General features: G+C 41.0%; 1 protein-coding gene across 7 annotated transcripts in view, besides 1 other annotated feature; it reads right to left on the minus strand.

Moving 5' to 3' along the window:
• Positions 1-45: 45 nt before the first annotated feature.
• The window catches only part of VTCN1 (V-set domain containing T cell activation inhibitor 1), a 67,341-nt gene continuing 55,139 nt past the window's right edge, over positions 46-12,247 (minus strand). For 6 of the 7 annotated variants that reach the window (NR_045603.2, NM_001253850.2, NM_024626.4 and 3 more), the window contains 3 exons: positions 9,550-9,828; positions 4,072-4,241; positions 46-1,684 (listed from right to left, as the gene is read on the minus strand). Coding sequence is in view for 5 of the 7 variants with exons in the window: in NM_001253850.2 (NP_001240779.1) it covers positions 4,117-4,241; positions 9,550-9,828 (404 nt within the window). In the remaining 2 variants the exon portion in view is untranslated. The remainder of the gene's footprint in view (positions 1,685-4,071; positions 4,242-9,549; positions 9,829-12,247) is intronic. The other variant, NR_045604.2, reaches the window with a different exon arrangement.
• Positions 2,902-4,101: an enhancer, noted in NCBI's record as "CDK7 strongly-dependent group 2 enhancer chr1:117689065-117690264 (GRCh37/hg19 assembly coordinates)". NCBI's record gives its function as "activates an origin of replication core promoter dependent on BRD2, BRD4, P300/CBP, MED14 and CDK7 cofactors, with strong dependence on CDK7, by STARR-seq in HCT116 cells {active_cell/tissue: HCT116}" and the evidence as "EXISTENCE:reporter gene assay evidence [ECO:0000049][PMID:35650434]".

A 12,247-nucleotide genomic window follows, 5' to 3' on the forward strand; every position in this document is an offset into this window, starting at 1 on the left:
TCCATCTTCCCTTCACTCACTTTTTTTGACAAACCAGGCAGACAATGGTGTAGGAAATGTATATTTAATCATTCTCTTGAACGATCAGAACTCTAAAATCAGTTTTCTATAACAACATGTAATACAGTCACCGTGGCTCCAAGGTCCAGGAAGGCAGTGGTTAACACATGAAGAGTGTGGGAAGGGGGCTGGAAACAAAGTATTCTTTTCCTTCAAAGCTTCATTCCTCAAGGCCTCAATTCAAGCAGTCATTGTCCTTGCTTTCAAAAGTCTGTGTGTGCTTCATGGAAGGTATATGTTTGTTGCCTTAATTTGAATTGTGGCCAGGCAGGGTCTGGAGATCTAAATTCAGAGTAAGAAAACCTGAGCTAGAACTCAGGCATTTCTCTTACAGAACTTGGCTTGCAGGGTAGAATGAAGGGAAAGAAACTTAGAAGCTCAACAAGCTGAAGATAATCCCATCAGGCATTTCCCATAGGCCTTGTCAACTCTGTTCACTGAGAGATGTTATCCTGGTGCCCGATAGAGTTCTGGCTCTCTGTGCTGAGGCAGCAGCCAAAGAGACAGAATGCTTATTTGCCAATGACTAATGTGAGGAAGCAGACAGATTTGTTGGCTCCCCTCTTTCCAGGCCCTTTTCTACTCAAAACCAGGGTTTCTTAGCCCTGACACAGTTGACACTTCGGATTGGGTAGTTGTAATGGGGAGACGTCCTGTACATGGTAGGAGGTTGAGCAGCATCCCTGGCCTCTATCCACTAGTTGGTAGTAGCACTGTATCCTCCTCCACTCCCTCATTGAGGTAACCAAAATTGTCTTCAGACATTCCCCCGGAGATGGGGGGCGAAATCACCCCAGCTGAGTCCCACTGCTCTAGATGCTATTGAAAACTGAGGTCTTAGCTGTCCACGCAGGATGGAAAGGAGAAGCCTCAGAGCTTGTGATGACATAATGCCATATAGACAAGGTGAAAGGTCCTTCCCTGGACCATTCACGGATGAACATCATCTGAGAAATAAACCCGCATTTGTTTGTTTAAAAAGAAGGTGCTCAGTTTATTTATAAAATCGGTGTCGCCGACTGCTCTGTTTATGCTAAAATTATGATCATTTTTCTCAACTTTGGCATTTGTCAGTTGGGAAGAGAAGCCAAGGCACCTTTGGAAGCATCATAAAAAGTGAATCATTTGACCCATTACTAAAATGCAGCCGCCCCTGAGTTGCGAAGTGGCAGTCAATTAGCAGCGTCTTAGGGTACATACTACAGCTTAATTTGTGGAATATAAGATGTGGATATGTTGGGATAGACTTTCCAGGGGCTTCCTCAGAGCAACATTACAGCACATATAACTAAAAATTCAGAGACAAAGAACATGCACTATCCTGTCCTCTCACTCCCCAGGTGACAGGCAGGGGGAGGTCCCTGAGATCTGGGGATGCACTTGTCTCCACGTGCATTTTACTTATCACTCTTAACACACTTGTCTAGTTCACATGAATTATTTTCCCAACTTCTAATATGTCTTTGAAGATAGATTTATCTTGTTCATATTGGAGCCTTCTGCTTTTGGCTTCTTTTTGTTTCTTGCTCTTGTTTGCTCACTCCAGACTTCTAGATATGAATTCATTTCCTCCCAGAAATATAAAACTAGGTCATATCTGGTGGTGAAATAGTTCTGTAGATCCCTGGGATTGTGGAAATAACAGCAATAAGATACCATTATAGCCATTCACAAAACAATTATTGAGAACTGAGAGCTTCCCTGCCACTGCGTGGTGTATCTCTTGTTTAGAAAGGGGCTTATTTTTCAGTATTTTGATGTTGTTCTATTGAGGCCACATGGTCCCATGGGTTGCTGGGGAAAAAGAGATGGCTTGAATCTCTCCTTAACGGGGTATCATCCCAGTGGCAGTCTCAAGGAAGAGAAGAGATGGGTCCTTATAGTAAATGAGAACTGAGAGGAGTCTGGGCAGGCTCCTGAATAGAGGTGGAAAGGTGGTTTCTGCCTCAATTCCTAACCAGGGAGTGTGTGTGGCCTAAAATGCCATTACCCATTATAATGTGTGTCTCAAATAATGTTCTATTCATTTACTTTTATCATTATTTTTTTGAGACAGGGTCTCACTCTGTTGCCCAGGCTGGAGTGCAGTGGTGCAAACATTGGCTCACTGCAGCCTAAACCTCCTGGGCTCATGCAATCCTTCCACCTCAGCCTCCTGAGTAGCTGGGACCACAGGTGGACCTCCACACCTGGCTAATTTTTAAATTTTTTTGTAGAGATGGGGGTCTCACCATATTGCCCAGGTTGGTTTTAAACTCCTGGGCTCAAGCAGTCCTCCCATCTTGGCCTCTCAAAGTGCTGGGGTTACAGGTGTGAGCCACCATGCCCAGCCTTACTCATTTACTTTAAAAAATCTACTTGATTTATGGTTATTCCTCTATGGTGCCAGGGAGAAAGAGGTGGACTGCAGCTAACTGGGTAATTGTATATAAGCCTACGTGTGCTGCATGTGAACATTATCCATTAGATGTATGTCGTGGATATTTTTTTAAAGCTGTAAATTATTACTCTAAGGGAATACAAGGTAAAGATGAGTCAGCTATGTTATATAGGACATATTATTTAGTTGCAGGTTATTAAACACTCATTTGCAGTGTTGTGGGGAATCAAGGAAAGAAAAAAGTGCTTTTCACTCTACTAGTGAGATTCCCAAGGGACAGTTTCCTTAGGGAAATCTCTGCTGACAACTGTGGAGGATTGGAAATGATGAAAACTGGCGGGTTTCCTTACAAAGAATCTCCTTTGTTCACTGCACTATAGTGAAATCTTGGAGAACAAGAGAAAGAATGAAAAGAAGCAGATCAACAGATCTTTACCTGCCTCTGAGGACTTAGCAATGTAGGCAAGGAATACATGTACCCTGGAGAGTGTAAGACATAAATCATACATGCATGCCAAGAGGATATAAAATACAAAGACTCTTGGGGAGGTGGGATATAAGCTAGGAAGCATTTTCCTAAAATGGATAAAGGAAGTAGTGGGTATAAATTGCCACAGAGTAGAGAAGATTTCCAGGAAAAGACAGTGAGGGAGGGAGCAAGACCAGAAAGTAATGGTAGTTAGCAGGTAGTGGTAGGCAGCAGTAGTGGTAGGTAGTAATGGTGGGTAGGTATGCTTCTGTGACTTTGACTTCGATATAGTTATGCCCAGAGAGTCACTTTAGGCTCTGGAGCAAAGGAAGGCTATGATGAAATCGTGTTTCAGAATACTTCGATTCTGGCACCGTGTTTCCTATCAGCTAAAACAGGGAAAGGAAGGAGCAGGTACAGTGTTTCAAAACCAGTCGGGGTGTGAGATGATGAAGGCTGGATTAGGGTCAATCTGAGAGGCAACACAGGGGAAAATGTGATAGGTAGGGGTTGATAAGAAATTGACATGCGGGACAGAGGGGAGACAAAAATAGCTCTGAGGCTGTAACCCTGGAGGCTTGGTGGGGATGCCACTGAGTAATATGGGAGTATCGACTGGAACTTCATGATCTCAGCTTTATACACATTTCATATGCAGAAGAATATTCAAAAGGAAATATCCTAACAATAATTGGAGCCAGAGGACTGAAGTGAGAAGGAAATCTCAGCAGGAGGGCTAGTTGGTGAGTCATCTGCCAACTGTCCACAGGGGCCGGCTGGAAGGGCAGGGAGGGGTTTTATGTGAATGATGATATGCTTTATAAATAACAGTGGAATCCAGGGTAATTACTCAGGGCTAAATATCTCTTTCTCTTCAATAAGTTATTTTGCCTTCATTGATGACTGAGTAACTTAAAAGGTATTTGAATTTACATAAATACTTGAATTGTATGTTATTTTTCCTATGGGTCTGTCAATGAAGTCTATGCTGTTTGCTGACCTAACAAATGATTACCTTTCCCAGTACTAGTGGAAATAATGTCACAGCCCTGGTGTCATTAAATGTTTCTTTCTGTGGCTGATGCTGAAGGCTATCCGACTCTCATTAGGAGCACAAGCACCCACAGAACCAATATCCCACACTATTTGTGATTAATCTCACCTGTTGTAACAATGACTTTGCATGCTTTTTTGTGGCCGAGGCACATTATTTTAGCATCAGGTAAGGGCTGAGAGGCAGAAGTGCCCAGCTGATGGCAAAGAAAGAAGAGACACACAGAGAAGCCTTTGAGTTTAGCAGCTGTAGGTGACTCCGCCTTTTGATCTCCGATTCTGTGAAGTGAGAGAAAAAGTTTAGGGTCATACAGGAGAAGCTGGATGTCTTCTTCACATGACTGGTTAGCAAAGAAAAGTACCTGAAAAACAGAACAAGTTGTTCCTAATTCAGGCAATTTTTTACCCCTTTGCCCACCTCTCCGTAACTGGCTTAAAAGTAGAGCTTTCTCTTTCTTCAAAGAAAATTCCATTCTGTGGTCCACTCCAGTGAACACTCAGCCGAATGAAAAACTATACCAATAAGAGATTGTTATGGGTTACCAAATAAAGAATAGGCTAAACAAACAGCCATGGCCAGTTCTTGGCTTGAGACGCATTTTCCCTCCAGGCAGTGATCTTTACAGGATCCACGTCATTACATTAGCTTTCATCATACCACTATAAAGTGTCTAGGAAGTATTATTCTCATTCTGAAGCAGAGAATGGTAGATGTAAAGAAATGAAATCATACTTCTTTTGCTCAATTTCCTCCCTAGACAATCCTATCTCTTTTATTTCATTTCAGCTCTGTCACTTACCAGCTGTGTGACTTTAGGCAAGTTACTCAATGTATGTGCTCCAGTTTCTTCATCTATAAATAGGGCTAGAATACTAATAACCTACTTCATAGGGTTCTTATGAGGATTAATGAGTTAGTGCATGCAAAGCACTTAGAACAGTGTCTGGCCTATAATAAGCACTCCATAAGTACTGGCTGTAAAAACGACAATAAAGCCAACATCACTCAAGCCTAATAAATATCACTTTCATGCTAGTCATTTCCAAGTCTACCTCCTTAGTTTGAACTCTGTCTTGAGTTCCACATCTAGATTTCCAGTTGCTGCTAGATATGTCATTTAAAAACATAATTATTCAGTAAATATTTCTGAGTACCTACTATTGGGGTTCAAAGAAGTCCAATAAATAACAGCCTCTTCCCCAGCTTAGCTCTGAACCAATTAAAGAGAAGGACAAAAAAATAAGGCAACTGGAAGATCAAAATATCACCTTTAGTGCTGAAAATATGTTAATAGAGAATGAGGCTTTGTAGTTAGGCAAGTGGGCTACAGCCGAGACTCCCCACTGTCAGACAGAACCAGACTGGTGCAAGTCTCCTGCAGGAGCAGATTCTACCCCTGAACAACTGACGGCCTGCAGGAGCACAGCAGAATGTACACGGGCTTCCTGAGAGTTAGCAAAAACAAAAAGAAAAAGGAGGAGCTGAGCTACTTATGTCCAGCTGCTCCTAATATACTCATCAATCAGATAAATTAATTCCTTGTTCTCTCAGGAAGAGTGAAAGAGGGAGGAAGAGAGAGGCTAAAAAGATGACACTGGTGGGGATCCCTTCTCATAAAAGGAAATATATGGAGTAAGGGTGTAGTGTTCTCCCCAAAACCTATCACATGCTGGCTATTGTGCTAAGCACTGGGCATCTCTACCTGGGTACACTATGGGCATTTCAAACTCGACATCTCTAAAACCCTTATCTACTCCCCACACATATTGCTCCTATGTTTTGGGGTGGGTTTTTTTTTTTTTTCTGGTAGCATCACCAACCTCCTAAGTATCCTGGGTAGAAATATCAAACCCACTTTGACTTGTGATTTCTCTTGACTTTCACATTTGCATCACCAAGGACTGTACATTATTTTGTTTATGCAACTTTTGATTCTTCCCCCTTTTCTTTCCCATTGCCCCTGCTCCAGTTAATACTCTCATAATTTCTCCCCCAGACCATTACTGTAAGCTCCTGACTTCAGGTCTTCCCATTTTATCCAAACCATTTTTTTTCTTCTTCAAAACCCAGCCGGAACTCTGCCTTATCTATGGATCCACTTCAGTCATAATTAACAACTCTTTCCCATAGGTACTAAATCTACACTGTGATTAACTTCTCTTTTGATACTTATGCTATTCATTTCAGTATCTCAGGGGGCTTAAAAAAGTACTCTGAACATACTTGGCACACAATAGATATTTGTTAAATGAATGACCTAAATTAGCAGTATAGGCAGAGAACACAATATGTAAATCCCATGGCCCTACTTGTTTAAAAACATGCATGGAGCACCTACTTTGTCTACAACAATAAGAAATTCTGCTATTTTCTTAATTTTGAGCTACCAAAAGTTGTATTTCATCCTAGCCTGACACTTCGAACACTTGTTTTGATGTATCCAACAAACATGTAAAGAAGACAGATCTGTTAATTGAATAAAAGGTGTGCTCAATGTCTATGTCTTGTTCAGTTGTGGCCCTTGCTACTAGAAGACATTATTTACACAGCTTGGAGCTTTTTACTGGGAACTGGACTGAGATACTGTTGTCAGCACCCATTGTTTTAAATGACCAATACTTCAGTCCCTCCTTCTCTTCTGGGAAGGCCTTTCATCAGATACTGCCTCATTGGCCTAGGTATGGGCAGCTGACCCAAGTGGAGTCAAAGTCCTTCTTGGGAATGTAGAATGAGACTGATGAATTGAGGTTCAGTCTCACCACTCTCTTGAGTAAGAGATTTTTAAATATAGGAATGCTTGGCAATCACGTCTTGCCATATGGACTAAAACAAGAGAGTAAAGAGAGAATTAAGTAGAAATGAGAGAAAAAGAATCTCAATGGGATTTAAGTTCCTGGTTCCAGTTGATCCTGAAGTCAACTGAACTTCCTGTCTTTGGTTCCACAACATTCTAGTACACTTCCTACACTTCCCTTTCAGACTAGATTTATTTATATTGGTTTTCTGTTACAGGCAACTAATAATCCTAACCAGGATAGTTGCCAATTTGTTCCTCAAGATGGTGCAAGAGCTCTCGCTCTCATATGTAATTTTTTAGTTAGATACTTTTTAAAAATTGCAGTAAAAACAACAAAATTTACCATCTTAAGCATTTTTAAGTGTACAGTTCAGTAGTGTTAAGTATATCCACGTTGTTATAAAACAAATCATTAGAACTTTTTCATTTTGCAAATCTGAAACTCTATACTCATTAAACAAAAACCTTTCTCCTTCAACTCTTCCACCCTGCCCTCTGCTAACCACCATTCTACTTTCTGTTTCTGTGCATTTGACTGCTTTAGATGCTTTGTTTAAATCATATAGTATTTGTCTTTTTGTGACTGGCTTATTTCACATAGATAATGTCCTGAAAGTTCATTCATGTCATAGCATATGATAGGATTTCCTTCCTTTTTGAGCCTGAATGGTATTCTATTGTATGTGTATACCATATTTTGTTTATCTACTCATCTACTAATGGACATTTTGGGTTGATTCTATCTCTTGACTTTGGTGAATAGTGCTACTGTGACCATGGGTGTTCAAATATCTCATTCAGACTCTGAATTCTTTTGAAGGCATACCCAGAAGCAGGACTGTTAGATCATATGATAGTGTAAGTGTGAGCCACCATGCCCAACCTGAGTGTTACAGTTCTTTTTTTTTTTTTTTGGAGAGTGTTACAATTCTTAAAGATGGTGTGTCCGGAGTTTGTTCCTTCAGATGTTCAGATATGGTGCATCTGGAGTTGTTTGTTCCTCCCAGTGGGTTTGTGGTCTCACTGACTTCAGGAATGAAGCTGCAGACCTTCGCAGTGAGAGTCACAGCTCTTAAAGCTAGTGTGGACCCAAAGAGTGAGCAGCAGCAAGATTTATTGTGAACAGCAAAACACCAAACCCTGCACATCACAGACAGCAGCCCTACCGGGTTGCTGCTGCTGGCTCCAGTGGCCAGCTTTTATTCCCTTATTTGGCCCCGCCCACTTCCTGCCTATTGGTCCATTTTACAGAGCGCTGATTGGTCCATTTTACAGAGTGCTGATTGGTTCATTTTTACAGAGTGCTGATTGGTGCATTTACAATCCTTTAGCTAGACAGAGTGCTGATTGGTGCATTTGCAATCCTCTAGCTAGACAGAAAAGTTCTCCAAGTCCCCACTCGACCCACGAAGTCCGGCTGGCTCCATATCTCAGTAGTTCTTTTTTTTAATTGTTTTGATGACACTTTATACTATTTTCTATAGAAGTTGCACCATTTTACAGTCCCACCAACAGTGCATGAGGGTTCCAATTTTTCCGCATCCTCACCAACATGTTATTTTCTGTTTTTGCCTTATTTTGTTTTTAGAGTAGCCACCCTAATGGGCATTAGGTGATATCTCATTGTGGTTTTGACTTGCATTTCTCCAATGATTAGTGATGTTGAGCATCTTTTCATTTGCTTTTTAGCTATTTTTATATCATCTTGGGTTGAATGTCTCTTCAAGTACTTTGCCCATTTTAAAATGAGGTTATTTGATTTTTGTTGTTGTTGAGTTGTAGGAGTTCTTAATATATTCTGGATTGAAACCCCTTAAAATGATTTACAAATATTTTCTCCCATTCCATAGGTTACTTTTGTGTGTGTGAGTGTAATTTATTTTTTAAATTGATATATCTGAGTTGTAGATAATTTTGGGTTCATATGTATAATTTCAAATTAAAAAATCATAAGAATATGATTTATTCAGTTAGATTCGGCAAACATTTATAGGGTACTTATAATGTGTAAGGTATTTTGTGCCCAGTGCTAGGCTTGATTTAAATGGCAGCCTCCTGACGTACTCCTTTCACTACAGTTTGAATCCAATTTCGCCCCAGGAAGGATGGTCTTAAAAGTCAGAATTCAGTCTATGCATTTTCTTGATACTAGCTCAACCTAAGGTTTTGTATGCACTAAAGCACTGCAGGGAGACTAGGGTGCTGGGTCTTCTCAGCCAGCTCTCAGCTAGGGTGCTGGGAGACCAGTTCCATCTAGGGGTTTCAGATTAATCTTGAGCCAATATTAGTGGGATCATGAGTCAGTCTCATGAGGGATGAATAAAACTAAGTCAGACTCCAGACTTTTAGTCTTCAGATTCACAGCCTTCTCAAAGGCAGGGTGGAAGCAAACCTTGGTTTCTAGCCTAAGTTTTGGAGGGCTTGAAGTCCAGCTGAACATATCAAAGATGTCAAGTAATTATCACTTCCTCACTGCTGTAGCAAGGTAGTCCTACTGAGTTACACAGAGCCTCAGAATCCTAAACACTGTTCTCCAGACAACCAGTCAATGAGAAAGCATACAAGATGAAACCTAATTGCCATCTTTGACCTATATGCCATACATATTGTTTTGTGTTGGGCTTTCTCTTATGTAATACAATCTCAACTGGAATTGAGTGATCAAATTCTTAGTGAAGAGGACTCTAGAGATTTTTGTGCCTTGGTATATATCTATTAATGAAGTTAAATTTTAATTTAGATTTTACTCTTTCCCCAGTAAATCCATACAAAAGCATGCAGGAACCCACCTGTCACTTTGATATCCCCTGTTGCTTTGGCAATGTCATTTTCAATCATACAGGAGTATGTGTTGTTGATCGTAACATTGTAGAGCACAGACACAACCTTCATGGTCACATTCTCAGAGTTCAGCTCAAAGCTGGTATTGGAGACTTCCGAGAAGTTGGCTCCCTGGTCAACTTGGGATGCCCAGACCACTGTGGGCTGGGGGAACCATCGGGGAGCCTCACACCGCAAGGTCTCTGAGCTGGCATTATAGTCCACATTCACTTCCGGCATGCTGAAGGCTGCAGGGTCAAAAGTCAGAAAGGGCAGATGCCAAAGTCAGACACGTAAGACAATATAGCCTTTGAAGCGCTAGGCCTTAAAAATGCAGTCATTTTTTTTTTTTTTTTTTTATCATTGAAGCCACTCAGTACTTCCTCAGAGGTCCACCTGTGTATAGCCCATTGTATTATAGGTGCGAATAATTATTTGCTCATAGTATTGCTATACATCACAACCCTTTGGCCAATCACAAACCCCAAGGACCTAAATTCTAGGTATATTATGGTTACAATAGAAAATTTTCTCCAAGTAAGAGGAACTTCAGTGGTCATAAAAAAGCCTATCCCTTAGGGAATTAGGCATTTTCCTAGGGATCTGTGAAGCTTCTGGATTTTATGTATTTTTCTCCCTGGAGGATAAAGTTAGGGTGGGTAGGGAGAAGGAGAAAGAAGAAACAAACAGCATTCATCTATCACCCACAGAAATTCCATTCACAAGCTTTGTCATCACAGGGATTTGGAGTTTGCTTGGGTAGAGATTGTCCAGCTCTGGTATCCAGGGATAGAAACAGACATTTGTTTTCCTCCAAGGTAATTCTCCTCGCAGGAGAGTTAACTGCATTTTGAAATTAAGACTTAGCTTCCCCCCATATCCAGGCAGAGAGACAGTTGTGGGAAAATGTTTAAGCCTGGACTTTTTATTGGGGTAAAATATAATTTATTAATTTATTTGGCGTCTTCCTTTACCTGGGACTGAGCTGGTGCTGAGTAAGTAGTAAAAGGAAAGCCCTTGCCTAACCCTTAAGGAGTCTGTTCTCTAGCAGGGGAGACAAGACTCATGCTCGGAGCAGGCAGGGAACACGCTCTTGGGCGATGATGTGGGAAACTAAGTTTACATGACAATGAACCACCATTCATTGAGGGTATATTCTGTGCCAGTACTGTATTCCAGACCTTATTTCATTTGATCCTCACAACACTCCTGTGAATACTATCATCCCCATTAAAAAAAAATCAACTTTTAATTTTGAAATAATTTCACGTGTACAGAAAAGTTGCATAGAAGGTATAGAGTTCTGGCATAGGCCTCACCCAGTTTCCTCTAATGTCAACATCTTAACCAATGTGCATTAGTCAAAACTGAGAAACTGGAGGCCAGGCGCAGTGGCACACGCCTGTAATCCAAGCACTTTGGGAGGCTGAGGTGGGCAGATCACCTGAGGTCGGGAGCTTGAGACCAGCCTGACCAACATGAAGAAACCCAGTCTCTACTAAAAATACAAAATTAGCCGGCTGTGGAGGTGCATGCCTGTAATCCCAGCTACTTGGGAGGCTGAGGCAGGAGAATCACTTGAACCTGGGAGGCGCAGGTTGCTGTGAGCCGAGATCGTGCTGTTGTACTCCAGCCTGGGCAACAAGAGTGAAACTCCATCTCAAAAAAAAAAAAAAAAAAAAGAAAGAAAAGAAAAAAAAGAAAAAACGGAGAAACCGCCAATGGTATATTACTATCAACTAAATTCCAGATTTGATTTGTATTTCAACAGTTTTTCCACTGATGTTCTTTTTCTGTTCCAAGATTCCTTCCAGAACACCACCATGCTTTTAGTCATCATGTTGCTTGAGTTTCTTCTAGTCTGTCATGTTTTCCCAATTTTCTGTATATTCCATGACGTTGACAGTTTTGAGGAGTACTGGTTAGGTATTTTGAGGAGTACCGGTTAGGTATTTTCCATGACCTTGACAGTTCTGAGGAGTACTGGTTAGGTATTCTGTAGGTTGCCCCTCTGTTAGAATTCATCTGATGTTTTCTCCTGATTAGACTGAGGTTACAGGTTTTAGAGAGGAAGAGCACAGGAGGTAAAGTGCCCTTCCCATCACATTATATCAGAAGGTACATGCTGTTAACATGACTTATTAATGATGTTAACCTGGATCACCTGGCTAAAGCAGTGTTTGCCGGATTTCTTTGGAAGCTGGACTTCACTAAGTCCAATATACCCTGAGTGGGATAGGGAAGGTTTCAAGCTCCACTTTTTGGAGGGAAGAGATCTAAATAAATTATTTGGAATTCATCTGTAAGGGGAATTTGTTTCATATCCCTCATTTATTTAAATAAGTATGAAGTCATATGTATTTATTCTATACCTTTGAGTTATAATTCAATACTATGTTACTTATTTTGTTGCTTAAATTGTTCCAGCTTTGCCATTGGAAGCTCTTTCAGTTGGCTCCAGTATCCCTTTGACATGACCCCATTTTAAGATGAAGAAACTGAGGCTCAGAGAGATTGCTTTGCCCAGGCCACTGTACTTACACAGGTCTGATTCTAGATCTGAGCTTCGAATCATTGCATATGCATGTTATGAGGTGTGCAAGAAAGACCTGTGCATACTAGTTTAGGCTGGAAAGGCCCGGTTTCTGCCTATCCTTCAAGGCTCCC

Source organism: Homo sapiens, chromosome 1 (genome assembly GCF_000001405.40).
Source record: "Homo sapiens chromosome 1, GRCh38.p14 Primary Assembly".
NCBI lineage: Eukaryota > Metazoa > Chordata > Mammalia > Primates > Hominidae > Homo > Homo sapiens.